At 43.1% G+C, this 15,916-nt stretch overlaps 1 long non-coding RNA gene across 1 annotated transcript; it reads left to right on the forward strand.

Moving 5' to 3' along the window:
* The first annotated feature begins 4,441 nt into the window (after positions 1–4,441).
* LOC124902794 (uncharacterized) lies at positions 4,442–15,698 on the forward strand. Its single transcript, XR_007062956.1, has 2 exons — positions 4,442–4,632; positions 13,312–15,698. It is a non-coding gene; the product is annotated as an uncharacterized LOC124902794 (long non-coding RNA).
* The last annotated feature ends 218 nt before the right edge of the window (positions 15,699–15,916 follow it).

The raw sequence follows: 15,916 nt of genomic DNA on the forward strand, positions 1-15,916 counted from the left end.
TTTGATAAGAAAGTTATGTTGGCCTGATAAAACTAATTAAGTTCAATCTGCTGTGTAACACATTTATTGGGTTTATAATTTCAGAGTTTATTTTCCAGTTCAAGAATTTCTGTTAGAGATAGGTGTAGAAATTGCATTCTCCAGTGAAATTCTTCATCTTGTCATTCATTTTACTGAACATATTAATTACAACTATTTTACGTTCAGTTTTGAAAAGCCCAATCTGTATCATATGTGACTTTTTTCTGTTACTATTTTTATTTTTATTTTGTCAATTAATATGTTTGGTATTTTAAAAAAATATCAGACATTTCATATAAATAATTAAATGGCTCTGGCTAATGTTGTCTTTCTACAGAGCAGTTTACTTTACTCTCTGACAGCCATTAGAATAGAAACAAAACACATCAATCCAATCACAAAGTGAGCTAACAAAGGCAAGGTTCCCCACTGCAAAGCCACCTCTGGGTCTTTCTTACTCCTAGGATCTAGCCCTTCAAAGATACTGACTGAGATCCAGAATATAGCAAGTGCCTCCAACACATTATTAAATGAATGAATAAGTAAATGAATGTTGGTAATAAAGGAGGAGGGTAACTCTGAAAAGAACGATGAGAAAATAAACATTTCCAAGTGATAAATATGGTTCAAGAATAAAGGAGAGGAGGGATCACCCATGGTAAAAAGTTTCTAGCCTGTGAGTACTCGTACTACTGATAGCAGAGTCAGTCACTGGAAGCATAATGGAGGTATTTGGAATGAAGACAGTTCGAGGGAGGAAATAAGGCAGAATATGAGTACCATTTTCAGCTAGATAACATTGGGTGATATCAGATAATCTAACTGCAGACTTATGGTAGATGGCTAAATATATGGGATATGAATCAGTGCTCTGAACTGAAAGAGAGAAAGATGTCAAGTTACCCCCAGCCTGAAAGTTACAGAGTGGGCCAATTTTATAAGTTTATATAGATATGCCAGCTGTTTAGAATGACATTTGTGGATATAGCAAGAGGAAATTTGGACCAAATGAAAACAAAAATTAAAACTTGAAAGTTCTGCCTTTTGAAAAGTCCAGCTATGACTTGAGTTCCCTTCTAAGTTCAAAGAGACTTTGAATGAACAAGCAGAAGATATTTGTTCATTATTCTGAGAGGAAACCCCTTAAGGGGCTGTCTTCCCTGCTTACCCTCCTGGATCCCTCAGTCCCAGGACCACTAAGCATGGTAAAAGGAAACATTTTTTAAATAAAAGAAATCACTTTATTGCTTCCTCAGTACTCCCTACATAAGCTCTTGGGTATTTTTTTAAGGTCTTGATTAGTCCACATTCCTGATCACCTTAATTGTTCTTATATTTGCCTTACTGCACATCTACATGTTAATCAAATACATAATTCAGTACCAGAATATGCAGTTTGGCCACAAAACTCACCTATGTGGCATGGTAAACATTGTGTTGAAAGTTATTGAACCATTTAAATTTATTTAAATTCATGATTTCCAATTGTGGGCCTTTATATTTTCTGTGGAAAATATTCTAGGTAGTCTAATGGTAGCCCAGAACCACATTTCTCTCTTTCTGAGAGTTGCTAGAGCAGGGCTCCAAGTAATTGTCGTTTCCGCTAAGACTCCAACATGAATTACAGCCCCGTGTTTCAGGAGCCCTTTAGTGTCCTAGGGTTTGTAATAGATGTTTCTAATTCTCATGAAATTATTGAACAAACATCAAGGAAAGATGTTTTACAATGTAAAGCTAATGCAGAGGGTCATTAACATTGTTATTATAGACAATCAGCATGATTTAGCCAAGACCTTTGACAAGGGTATACACCTGTCTGTGAATAATAGGTCTCTGTTTATCACCCAAGCTATTAATTAGACTAAGATTAAAGATGGGGTGGGGTGCATGCTCCAAAGAGTGTCTAAATGGCCGAGAGCATGAGCTAAGAGGTTGCAGTGACTCTTTCATAGATGGGATATCAGCTGCTCCTGTTCTGCTATGGGCACAGACATAACAAGAGACCTTACGTCACCTGAATGCCCTACCCCTAAACTCAAATTGCATCTTCTCCCAGAATTCCACATAAAGTGAACTCTTAAAGCAACTTGTATCATTTCTACTATTGTGACGTATCCTTACCAGTATTTTGGGTATTTGGATCTCCTAAATGTATGCCTTTCTCTAACATACTTCACCAGTGCTGAGTTATTTCTTCTTCATTGTCAGGACAGAATATCTATTATAGGAATAACTTGAGTCTCAGGTTGAATTTTGGTAAAGTAAGTGAGAAATTACCTTGTAGTATTTTTATTTTTTTTATTCTTATTTTTGAGATGGAGTCTCACTCTGTTACCCAGGCTGGAGTGCAGAGTCACAATCTTGGCTCACTGCAAGCTCTGCCTCCCGGGTTCACGCCATTCTCCTGCCTCAGCCTCCCAAGTAGCTGGGACTACAGGCGCCTGACACCATGCCCAGCTATTTTTTTTTCTATTTTTAGTAGAGATGGGGTTTTACCATGTTAGCCAGGATGGTCTCGATCTCCTGACCTTGTGATCCACCTGCCTCGGCCTCCCAAAGTGCTGGGATTACAGGCGTGAGCCACCGCGCCCGGCCCACCTTGCAGTATTTTTTTTTAATTAAAAAGTAAAATAATACTTCTTTAGAAGAATATAAAATAAAAAAATGTACCTTAATTAACTACCACAAGAACAAATCAAACAATACCAAAATGTTTGATAAATGGCCAAGGAAAACACACATGAGCTATGCATTGTCTTTCTTAATTAACTTGTAACCCGTTTACCTGTCGCTCAAGACTGCTCACAGCTGGGCTTTCTATAAAGCCATCTATATACTCTGGAGCTGGGTAGCAAGCTTCCATTGTCCCCTGCTCCATCTCTTACACATGTCATTCACAGGCTGGTAGGTTCAGAGTCGGTGTCCTTGTCCCTTTTTCTTACTGCTTGTACAGCTTCTCTGTTCTCCATTATGGCTCATTATTTGAGTGGATCTTTCTTTCCATTTCTTGGTGGTTGGGTCATTATCCATATCAGTCATTGTAACCTACACTAATGCCTTTAAATTCTTACTGTATGTCAGATATTAATACATTTCCAAATGCTTTAAATGAATCGTCTAATGTAATACTCACGGGAATTTGATTCCTTGTTTTTGGATGAAGATATGGAGGCTTTGGAGGTACTACACTGACTGTCCCCACAGGAGGTTAATGGCACAGCTGTGAGGGAGGCACACCCAGTCTTTTCTCTATTTTCCTGCTTGCAGAGAGACTGTAGTAAATCCCTCAACTTTGATGTGCCTGTGAGTTTTATTACAATGCAGATTCTGGGATCTGGGATGGGCTGAGAGTCTACATTTTTAACACACTCTGTGGGGAGGATGGCGTCACTGGTCCTGGATCACCTCTGACTGCCCAAGGCCAAGAGGGAATTCTTTCTTTCTTCAGGAATGGGGTGGGGGGAATGGAGGGTAGGAAAATTTGCCTCACATCAACTAAAATCCGAAAGTTTCTTTCTAGTCCTACCCTATTGCATTTTCTAAATCCTTAAGGGGTAATAAATTTAGTCTTTTTTTTTTCCCCTCTCTGCCTCCGTCTCAACAGACTGCCCCTGTGGACAGCATGGGGGAGGGCTCTGTGTGTTCCAGAGGGTCTAGCACAGCGTTGCCCCTCTGTTTTTCAGCAAACACCCCTGGAGGATGAGCTGCAATTGGGCAAGCACAGAACGTTTGATCTTCTTAGAAAGGCTCTCTATTGTTTGCTTCAAAAATGACCCAAGGCTGCCAGTTTCCCCAGTTGAGGCTTTAAACATATGATGTCCATTTATCTATTTTCAGTCCTTTCAAATTCCTTCTCATTCTTGTGATTTGGGACGGGGGAGAGGGCAGCACCTGAATGGCCGCTCCTCGCCATTCATTATCCAATAGATCTCTATTAAGCCAAAGAATTTTTCTGCAATTGTTTCTTTCCTTCTCTGGATAAAGACCTCCTTTCACCCATTATGTCTCTGATCATTTCGCTGCCCTTTTCTGAAACTTCACTTTGTTGGCTCTGCTTTCTTTGAGGCAAAGATGATCAAAGCAGCTCTAAGCATGCCGGCAGTTTTTACAATAAATAGCATTTTCTGGGTTATTTTTCATTTCCATTTTAATGCAGCTCACTCACCTTGCTGGTGCTTTAAACTGTCCCCGTGCATTCCCTATGGCTTTATATCAAACAGAAAAGTCATTTCAGATTACATCAGAATACTTGTCCCTATCCCAAATTCACCTTAATTTTGTGATTGAAAAGATTCAGTAAATTGTGGCTCCGTAATGGTTTCCTTTTCTTTTTCCTTTTCACCTCTCTGTTGTTGTTGTTGTTGAGTTTGTTGGAAGCACAGTGATCTGCTGCCATAGCCAGGAGTAAATTTGAGTAGCATCAGGCATTTACGAATTTTTCAAGCTTCATCAAATCGTAGACATTTCCCTTGACAAAACAGTGCTTCTGGAGCTTGTGACACTTCTCACTTTCTGGGTCTTCCAGACGGATAATGAATCACCTACCAGTTGCATCTGTGTCTGCTTTTTCAACTCCAGCTTACTCCTACTACTACTGCAACTATTTGCCAGGTAAGAGCAGTTTGTATTAATGGCTAAAATTCACTGAGCACTTACTATGTGCCAGGCATATTTTAAGAACGTTACGTGTGTTAACTCATTTAGTCCTGTCTATGACACTTTGATAGGTTCAATTATTATCCCATTTTACAGATAAAAAAATTAAGGTGCACAGAGCACTTGACTATGGCCATATAGCTAGTAAGTGGAAGAGGCAGGATTCAACCCAGTCACTCTGGTTCCAGAGCCTGAACTTTTGAAAACCAATCACCTTCTTACTATGCAATAGGCAAGCATTCAATGCTTTCTATGCTTTTCTATGCCTTACCTAAATTTCAGTGATAGTATGCCCTATTTGAAGAACTTCATGTTTCTATCTCTCATCCAAATGAAACGATATCTCAGTCTGTTACAAAGACCTTACTAATAAAGGAGTAAGCAAAGGTCAGAGCCTCCAGCTACAAATCATTGAGGCAATGCCATGCTTGTCACATTGGATATTAAAGGGTTTGCCCATAGTAGACACTGAGCACTTTGAGGACGGGGCCATGCTTTCTTCATCTATATATCAAATCTGTACTAGTCTCTGAGGAAGGTTTAAACGCAATTCTTTCAATGGTCCAGGGATTGATTCAAAGCCACGTAGTATCTGAGAGGAGTGAGTGTGGAAGGCTGGGTGTGGAGCTCCTAATTGAACTACTTCCTTTATTGCAAGGGCTCTGGAAGGTGGTTCCACATTCATCTTGTTTTTTCTAAATTCTTTTTCTTCTCCCTGCACTTTGAACAATCCTTTCCCTGCTTGTGCCTGCAAATTTTGTAGCTTCCTCTGATCAAACGTTGTTGTCTTTAGAAGAGAGAAAGGGAGATTCTGGTTTTGATGTAACTGTTGACTGTACAGAACTGAGGGGCTGAGCTCATTTTCCCCCAAAGTTCCTCTTATGCCTGTAATTCAATACACTGTCACTGTAAGGATTCAAAGACCCCCATTTGTTCCATCCAGGAAATCAATTCCATTGACTGTTTTTTGTGAGCTAGCACCCTCGCCTCAGAGAGGTCCTCCTCACACTGCTTTTATATTCTGCAGCTCTTGCGGGTGGCAGGGAAGGGTAGAGGACCCAAATAATGCACCTCAAATTCTTGGTGGGCGTGGGATTCATCAAGACATCTCAGTTTCCCCATCATGCCCCAGGCGTGTCCCTCAGTGTTCAGAGAGGACAATACTTACCTTGCAAAGCTGTCGGTTAGTGAGCCTGCTCCAGTACAATGCCAAACGCAATGCCCAAGCATAATAATCAATTTTGAAAGTGTTGAAATCCTTTCTTGCTGTTCCCTTACTTTTCTCTCCCATCTCTATTTCCTGTTGACTCTATACTCCGAGCAGAGAGAATGAAAGTTGTTATGCTAGTGTACAGAAAGCAAAACTGAGGCAGAGAAAGACTGGCCTTTGGTATGATTTCATAACAGTTCAAAGCACAGGCCTAGCACTTGGCTCGGTGACAATTGATCAGAGCTGCCTTTACTCTCAGTCAAGGACATTCACTCTCCATTGTGGGGAGTTGAGTTCCAGAAATCTAAATGCAAATATAAAATCATATCAAAGAGTGTTTAATATAACATAGTAACAATAATAATGACACTTGCATTCATGTAGGGCTTTCATTGACTGACCATGCTGTACAAAGTATATTTGTAGATCACCTTCTTCCAAACTCACATCAACAGAGTGCTATTTCATTGGTGCAGTACAAAGTTAAATCAGCAGGAAATCTTTCAGTGACAGGTAACAGAGGTTCATTTTATGTTTTATTATAACAAAGATGTGCTGGTTGGTAGTGGCTTATGTAGATTTAGCAGCTTAATAATGTCAGGGCTCAAGGTCAGTATGTCTGCAATGCTAGTGACCTTTTCATGGTCATAAAATGGCTGCAGCAGTGCCAGAAATCATGTCCTGCATTCCAGTTAGGAAGCATGGCACAGAGTATTCTTCTCTCAGGGAGGAAAACCCTTCCTATTTCCATCTTATTGCCTAAAATAGGATTAATGGGCTGAGCTATGTTTCCTAAGATCAAAAGATCCCCTCTGACTCCTAAATAAATATGGGGCAAAATTCTGCCTGTTAGCAAGAAGAACCAGGTTTTGGGGAGGCAATTAGCAGTACCTGACACAAAAGGACGTTGGCCTAGAAGTAAAATGAACAAAAGTCAGGTCTTTTTCTTCCATTTGCTAACTGAGGCACATTGTAAAACTCCTTATGCCTCTTTGCGCTCACCTATAAATTAGGGATAATAATAGCCTATTCCTCTCACAGGGATGGAGTGAGAAAATATACATATGCAGAAATGTTTCGAAGATTGTAACATACTGTGGAAAAGCAAATTATTACATCTAGGGCATTTTTTTCACTTGGGATATTTAAAAAGCATAAAACTGTCTCTTCCTAACGTGACTCATAACTAGATAGAAAACCCAAGCTATTCATATGCAAAATTTGGAGTAATCTAAGGTTTAGCTATCAACTCAAGACAACAATAGTAAAGTTATTAAAAGCAGTAAAAAGGAACAATAAAATATAATGGTTAAGAGATTCATAGTTACACATATCCGAGTTGAAGTCCCAATTTCAGCACATCTGAGTTGTGTGATCTTGGGCAATTCACTTATTTTCTGAGTCTTACTTTCCTCATCTGTAAAACAGAAATAATTCCTGCCTCACAATGCTTTTGAGGTATTACATCACTTGAAATATATACAAAAGAACACTTAGCACAGTGGCTGGCATTGGAGATGAACTTAATAAATGTTAATTAACAAATAGCAGTCATTACGTGATTTACTAGAAATTTCTCCTCCCTTTAATGCTTCCTCCATCCCTTCTAGAGCCAGGTGTTCCGTGTCTCAGGGTAGTGACGGCCTTTTAACATATTGAACATGTCCTGAATTATCTCAACACTCACATTAGTTACCCCAAGCTCCAGATTAATCTTTTCCCAGGATGGTTATTGACAATCTACTCTCAGTCTTTGCCTCCTGTCTCTTGATTTGTTTTGGATTTACAAGGAGACTCTGTTTTCAGCCCTGAGGTTGCAAATGAACTCATTCCTCTCTTTGCCTGAATCTTGGCCCCTTGTTACTTACTGAGTGAAAATGGCCCTAGCTTTGTTTTCAACTGGCTTGGAGGACAGCAGGGAATAAGACATGACAAAATGTCAAGAGGCCTGTCAGGAGAAGGGAGACCCTCAGATATGGGCCCCTCTATCCTGTGTCAGTCCCTATTATACCTGCATGAAGATGTTTTAGAATTCTGGGAGAAAAGGAAGAAGGTTGCCAATTGCCTTAGGATTTTTGGCATAATTCTTTTCATCTTAAAACAATGTTTTACATGTGAAGGCTGTTGTTTGAAGACTTGTCTGAAGCTGGTTTTCTTCATTAGAAATATAAACAGTCATTGAATTACAACAGGAGCACACTGTAATTTAAGGTAGAATTGCAGGAGGGCTGGTCCATGGAACAGGGGTTTTAACCCTGGATGGGTTAAAAAAGAGGCTGCACATACCCCTCCTCTGCTATAAAACGGGAGAGATTTTATTATTATTATTGTTATTTTGAGACAGAGTCTCACTCTGTCACCCAGGCTGGAGTGCGGAGTGCAGAGTGCAATGGTGCGATCCCGGCTCACTGCAACCTCTGCCTCCCGGGTTCAAGCGATTCTCCTGCCTCAGCCTTCCGAGTAGCTGGGATTACAGGCGCCTGCCACCATGCCGGCTAATTTTTGTATGTTTAGTAGAAACAGGGTTTCACCATGTCGGCCAGGCTGGCCTTGAACTCCTGACCTCAGGTGATCTGCCTGCCTCAGCCTCCCAAAGTGCTGGGATTACAGGCACCCACCACCATGCCGGCTAATTTTTGTATTTTTAGTAGAAACAGGGTTTCGCCATGTTGGCCAGGCTGGTCTTGAACTCCTGACTTCAGGTGATCCGCCCGCCTCAGCCTCCCAAAGTGCTGGGATTACAGGTGTGAGCTACCGGGCCCGGCCTAAAACAGTAGAGTTATTATGTAATGTCAATCATTGTCTTTCTTAGCATCCCTTAGCTATAGCCACTCACGCTTCCTAATCTGAGTGTATTCCTCCCTCCCTACCTCTTGGCTAGAAACAGCAGTGGAATGGCAAGCTCAGGCCCATTGGGTGGTGGAGAAGAAACTGCAATGATGAGCTTGGGATAGACCAGCAACTCCAGATACCCACCAAATTTCAGCCTCCTCTCCCTCTTCCCAACAATTCCTACACGGTGTTCAATCTGGAGGGTGGATTTCCTGGTTTTTACATTCAGAGCTAGTGTTCATTTTAGAACCAGGATCTGTTTATCTGGGCTTTGCACCTACTCTTTCTTACCAACCTCCTCCAGCAAGGGCTGAAACGGGCTTCATTCTTTAGCCCTGAGCTAGGTCCCATTGTGAGTGGATGATCCCTGTGCCCAGAAAGCCCAGTTGCTATTGTCATCCTGAGCACGTGCCACCAGTGCCTATGTTGGGCACACGGACAGGACAGCTGAGCTGCCAGCTACCAGAATCACATGAACTTCTTCCTGTCAGCCTTTGTCGTCCTCTTTCTACAGAGCCCCCAAAACTAAAAGCCTGAGCTTGCTCTGTAGCTAATCCACCTGAACCATGAGAAATCATATCTTCGTGCATGAACTTTCAGATACATTTAGAGCCAAGCTTTCTGTAATACCCTGGGCTACCATACCTGAGGAATATGGCCACATGCACAGGTGCTGGGACAGACATAACTGGATTCGAGTCCTGAGTCTGCACAGGCAGTGTCCTCAGGCAAGTCACTTCCTTTTCTGAGCCCTCAATTCCTCAACTGCAAATGACATAACGAGACCCACGTTCACAGTGAAGCAATGCATCTGACACACTCAGACTAGTGCCTGGTACACAGTAAGCGGCAATACAAAGTACTCATTATATTACCATGCATGATTCGGGAAGGTAAACCTTCTGTTTAATCCTGTGATACCTGGCTGCAATTTAAAACATAGTTTTAAACATTGAAATAAGCAGAGTTGCATTGTGAGCAGAGTACAACATTCATATAAATCTTTCAGATAAAACAGGTAACTTCCCAAAACTTTCTTTCTGCTGTGCGTTGCTTTGGGCTCCCCCTCTGACAGCCTGAGGGGAGAAGCTTTTTTCTCTGCTCTTCAAGGTATTTCAAAGACTTCGGTAATAAACAATAAAGCTTAAGTCAGAAAGGGAAGAATACAGGAAATACATTTGCAGAGAGAAGATCAATGTGTTAGGTACGGATGGTTAAGAAGGAGGTTTAGATTATTTTTGGCTCTTTTTACACAGACATTTACCCCTATTTCCTTGGTCATCTCTGTCCAGCCCCTCCTACCAAACAAATGCTCCTTTCAGGGCTGTAGGGAAGATATTGTGGGAATTGTTATCTGGAGGGAAGCTGGTTTGGAAGCTTTGAGAGTAGGAATAAGTTTCTGAAATTCTTTGGACCTCAGTTTTCTCATCTGGCAAACGGGATTTCTAATACTTACCTCACAGCATTGTGGGATTAGATATACGTCTCTAAACTACCACCCACGTTTCCCAGCCCTACCCAGAATCAGAGCTGTTACCAGCCTGGCCACAGTCACCTCCACCATGACCTGGGCTCCTGCAACATCCTCCCAGTCGGCGTCCCTATTTCTGTTCTTTCTCACCCTGCCTCCAATAACCAGAGTCCAGCCAGCACATTTTTGAGGAACTGCACTAGCTTCGTACCTTTTATCTCTTGCAGCCCTCTTTTGGCTTTGCATTATGCTTGGAATAAAATCCAGGCTCCTTACCAGCATTCGCCCAGGCTGCCTCTCCTCCTCATGCTCCAACCTTCTCCCCAGGACCACACTTCACTTCTTTATGTTCCTGAGCACATTCCTGTCCTAGAAACTCAGCCTGCCAGCCCCTCTCCCAGTTGCCCTTTGTTCTGGCCACCTTGAGGCCGATCCATTCACATCCTTCGAGTCCCAGATGAAATGCCACTTTCTGTGTAAGACAGAAGGCAATGGAACCCCAGCGAGAGACGGTGAGCCCTGAACTAGAGCTTCTAGCTGATTTCCCTCCTCCTGGCCTCACTCTTTTCAAACCCAGCCTCCTCATGGCTCAGAGAAAGAGAGCTGAAGCATGAACGCATCACTCTTCTTCTTAAATCTCCTAATTCCTCCCCGCCATTTGGAGGATAATGTTCAAGCTCGTGAATTTGGCCCGTAAGACCCGCCACAACGCTTCTGCAGCTCCAGCTCCCTTGTGACCATCTGGCCACAGCCCAGTCTGTTTTGCTTTCATGCTACCATTTCTCAGTTCGGTATCTTTTGTTCATGTTGCCCTGTGTACCTGCTGTGCCCCCCTGGCACCTCCTCCAGGAAGCCAAGCCACCCGGTTTGCCTCAGATGCCCCTCCTGGTATCCCCATCAATCTCTGGGCCTAACCTGAAGCTACCTCTCTGCTTAGTGTCATTTCTTGATGTCTTTATGACCCTAGGGTCTCACTAGACTCCTGCTTCTCAGCATCTCTGCACTGCCCAAGGTGCACAGTGCACCCCTGGAGTGTTACTCAATGTTTGCTGAATGAGTGAATAAATAAATGAACCTGTGATTCAATAACAATCTATTTCTTGGTGCATTTGCTTCTTTGATTCATTTTGGGCATTATGAACTCTCTTCTGCTTCGCTAATATAACCTAATGTACATACTCATCTGACTATATTTTGGTCAGCTAATCGATTCTGTTTGCTACTCCCTTGTCTTTTATGTGGTTCTATGCAGCTGTGTGAAATGATACCCATAGCTGTCATTTATTCAGCACTTACTCTGTGCCTGACACTGTTTAAAGGCTTCTTTCCATGTGTTAAGTCTTGTAATTTTTTAAAGAACCTTCTCAAGGAAGTATTATTATTATCATCATTCCCTGTTGTAGATGATAAATCATAGGCAGAGGGCATAATTTCCCCCATCATGCATAACTGGTACAAGGCAATACCAGTCTCGGGGCCTATGCACTGCTGCTCTAGGGCCTGGCACTAATCACTGGATGGCATTTTCCTTCTTCTGCCAGAACCAACCTCTTCTCTCGGTGAGGCAGCCCGGAACATCACTTGTCCTCATTTTGGTGTTCATAGGACCAGTCCGAGGCACATTTTGTGTTTTCCATGTTCACATTTGTCCTTTCAACATCCTTGTTTTTCCTTTTTCTTACCTGATGCTGTCATATGACTCCTTTATGCTTAGGGTAGTGGACCAGAATAATCTGGAAGGCCTCTTAAAGCACAGACCATGCATCGCACTCCAGACTCTCTGATTCAGGACGTCTGTAATGGGGCCCAAGGTCGGGGGCTTCTCACAAGTTCCCAGGTGGTGCTGCTGCTGCTGGTTCGGGGGCTGTGCACTGAGACCTATGGTCCAAGGCCACTTGCAGCTCTGCCCTACCCCACCTCCCCAGCACATGGCCTTCCATGTTCTTTTCTGATTTTCGCACTCCCAGTCTCCAGTTTTACTTGTTCTAGTGCTTATGGCCCCAGGGATTTGCTCTGGCCCCTGAACACTTGATATATGTAAAAGTGTTGTGTATAGTTAGGTATTTTGTTACCCCAACTAAGTAGCTGATTTGCTTCTGTCTGGAAGGGTGGGTGGAGGGCATCCTGGGTGGAAGGAAGAGGTAGGCGAATGGGTGATACTCAAGCTCTCACCTGCATGCATCACACCATGTTGGTAAATCTTTCCCACCTCTGTGCAGGTCTGGCCTTGGCAGGGATCCATGGAAGTAACCGACAACCCTCCTTTTCACCCACAGTTCTGCAGAGAAGCCCAGCCTTATCTATGCCTCGTTCTTACTGCACACCACTCAGGGAATCACATTAAAGCAAATAATGAGATTTGCATACAGACATTAGACAAAGAATAGACTCCCTAAGCAGGAAACCACACAGCCCGTAATTGCTGTAGGTATCTAAGGTGTCAGGCCTCTGCTACCCAGTGAGGCTGCAAACCAGCTTTTTCATCATAAAGGAATGAGCTGCCAATGATTTTCAGAGCTTGATTAATGCTCTTCAAACCGATCTCCATTGGGTGCAGAAGTGAAGCCCGAGGAAGATGGATGTTTCCTATTACTTGACGTAATGACTGTGAGGCAAGCTAATGAAACCTTTACAGCCCGAGTTTACAGGAAAAAAACCAACAAACACAGATCAATACCTGAGTTACAGTTCCAATGCATTGATAAATGGATGACAGGCTGTGGGCCTGGCCCCAGCATAAAAAAAGAGAGCAGGAAGAAAGGTTGGGGGATGTTGAAAGGGAACTGGAGGCAGAAAGAAGAAGAAGGGTTAAACCACAGTGTGGACTGATGGGCCCAAGGGCACCAAGAGGAGGTTGTAAATCTGAGCACGTGTGTGTCAAGGGAAAGAGAAGGACCAGACAGCCAGGAGGTGAGAGGAAGTAAAAAGCGGGCAGGCTGCACAGCCAGACTTCCTTCACTCAAGGAATCGGGTCCACAAGTGAGGCTGGGACGCACATCCTGGCCAGGCTGCTCTCATCATGAAATGGGCAGCGCTTCTGATATTCCCCTGCACTAATTAAAACTTCAGCCCCACTGCTTGCATTCCCAGTTCTCATTATGATTTTCTTCTGGTGACACAGGCATCCCTTTGTTTCCTGAGTCCTAGAAGCAGGTCCCCGACGAGGAACAACGATGCCTGGACTCAGCTTCAGCCTCTGTTCTTCTACCGTTCAGAAGCCACCCTCCGGCAAGGTGACCCCGGCTGCTGGATGGGGCAAGCCCAGGAATTCTCGGCTTCTGACACATGACGCATTCATCTTCTCCGACAGTGTTCCCATGCACAACTTGTGGTTCGGGTTGGAAATGCAAAGTGGAAAAATGCATAGCAGTATCCCCTCCTCCAAGGCCTCAGTCTCTGTGCTCATATTCACTGAGACTAGTGACCCCCGACTTCCCACTCGCCGGCCCCTCCTCCTCCCCTTCCAACATAATATGCTGTTTACTTATTTATTGTGTTCATTTTCCGTCTCACCCAAATCTATTCTAGAAAAGGTTTTGTTTTGTTTTGTTATTTTTCAGTGTTCTGTCCACTGTTGTACCCCCAGTACTTAGCTTCCCATTTGCTACGCAGCAGACACTCAGTAGATATTGGTTGAGTGAAGAAATGATTGAGGACCAGTCATCATGCTTTTGTCCTAGCCTCACTGGGAACCAGCTATACAGCTATTGCCCTGTGTCTCAGTTTCCTTATTGGGAAATGGGGATAATAATCTCTAAAGAAACAGATGGATGCATATATGCAAACTATTTATATGTTTGTATATTCCTATCTGTAAAGTGTTTGTATATTCACATATGTAAAGTAAAAAATGTAAAACGTTGGATAAGTATAATGGATGCACACTATTTACAGTGCATGGACACCTGTCATGATAAACAAACTGGAGAAGCAATCACTAGCAAATAGATCATATCGATATGTGTGTGCCCCCATGAAAACCTCCACATTGTTGAAAGTGCTACCTGCTCTAATCTCCTGTTTGTGAAGATTAGCCCTATTTCTCTATCCAAAAAGAAGTTATCTTGGGGGCCCAGCACCCCAAAAAATTAGATCTCAGGCCATTGCACTATGTCTAAGGGGTATGTTGTATAAGATGTGCACGTAGTGGAAATTGGACAAAGGGCACTATATATAGAATGTGAAAGTGGAGTTTTCAGGACCTGTGCTTTAAATATCAGGCATGACATCGTCACCAGCACCTCCAGGAGCGGAGCCGGAGGCAGGATTCTCTGGGGAGTGCATTTCCTCCAGTTCTGCTGATGCAGGAGAGAAGGGTGAATCAGCAGTAGGCGGCTGAAAGTTTTGATAATCACAATTTGCTCTGGGTGATCAAGTGGGGCCTGGATGGAGGGAAACAATTGGATATCTAACTAGGCTAAGCAAGAGGGCTCAGGGGACTGGCAGGAGAAGGATACAGTGCTTTTACCTCCTGATCAAGCTTTTCCCATCTGGTCATTTTATTTGTCAATTTTTCCCATTTCATTTACCAGGCTGTTCCCTGACTGTTACCTCCTCTGGCAAATAGCTCAGCCAATCATTCTGCCTTGGGAAGGATGTCTGGCTAAAGTGCCCAATGTGGCCCCACCTAGGCCTTTTCCTATGAGTACCCCTCTCTGTGGCCCAAGATCCTCTCCAGCTCCCCCATGATATTAGGTGTGGGATCCACAACTTGCCTGCGGCAGAGAAACCCAGACACTCTCATCCTGCCCTTTTCTTTCGTCATGAAACAGGGTTGTGGGTTGGGTGGGAAAGGGGCTGAGGGGGTGAGTTTAGAGAGAGGAGGCTGGAAATGAGATTCCCAGCTCCATCATTATTAGCAATGTGACTTTGGGGATATTGCCACACCTCTCTGAGCCCCATCTTCCTTCATACCAAGATGATAATCTCTCTCTCATAGTCTCTGGTGAGAACCAGAGAGCAGGAGACACAAGTGCTGACCCATAGTAGGTGAGGGGTACACAACTATTGAGTATACACAATGGTCTCTCGAGAGCTGTCTCTACTGTTGAATTTTTGAATTCCTAAAACCAGAAGGGAAGAAAAACCAACATTGAATAAAAGTGCTAGACTGTAGTAGGTGCCTGTGTATGTCATCATATCACTCCCCGCCAACAGACTTATAAACTGAAGAGTAGTAGTCCACTGCTCTGGTTTACATATGTCCCCCAAAAACCGTGTGTTGGAAACATAATCCTCAAGGCAACAGTGTTGAGAGGTGGAGCCTGATAAGAAGTGATTAGACCACAAGGGCTGTATGGTTACGAATGGATTAATACCATTATTACAGAAGTGGGATCTTTAAAAAATAATGAGTTTGCCCCCCTTTTGTCTCTCTCTCACTCTCTCTTGCCATTCTACTTTCTGCCATGATGATACATCAAGAAGGTCCTTGCCAGATACCACCTCTTGATCTTGGGCTTCTCAACCTCCAGAACTCTGAGCCAATAAATTTCTGTTCATTATAAATCACCTAGTCTGTGGTACTCTATTAAAGCAGCCCAAAATAGATGAGGAAACTGAAAAACTTAATAGATGAGGAAACTGAATTACAGAAAGAATTACTAACTTGTGCAAGGTTAGGCTGCTGATAAATCAGAGCTGGAGCTCCATACTGGTTTTGATTTCAAAGTCCATCCCTTTCCCCATCACTAGGCTGAATCCCAGGAGACTGAAGGTTAACCAGA

The sequence above is a fragment of the Homo sapiens genome, chromosome 11, assembly GCF_000001405.40.
Source record: "Homo sapiens chromosome 11, GRCh38.p14 Primary Assembly".
In the NCBI taxonomy this organism is placed as follows: domain Eukaryota; kingdom Metazoa; phylum Chordata; class Mammalia; order Primates; family Hominidae; genus Homo; species Homo sapiens.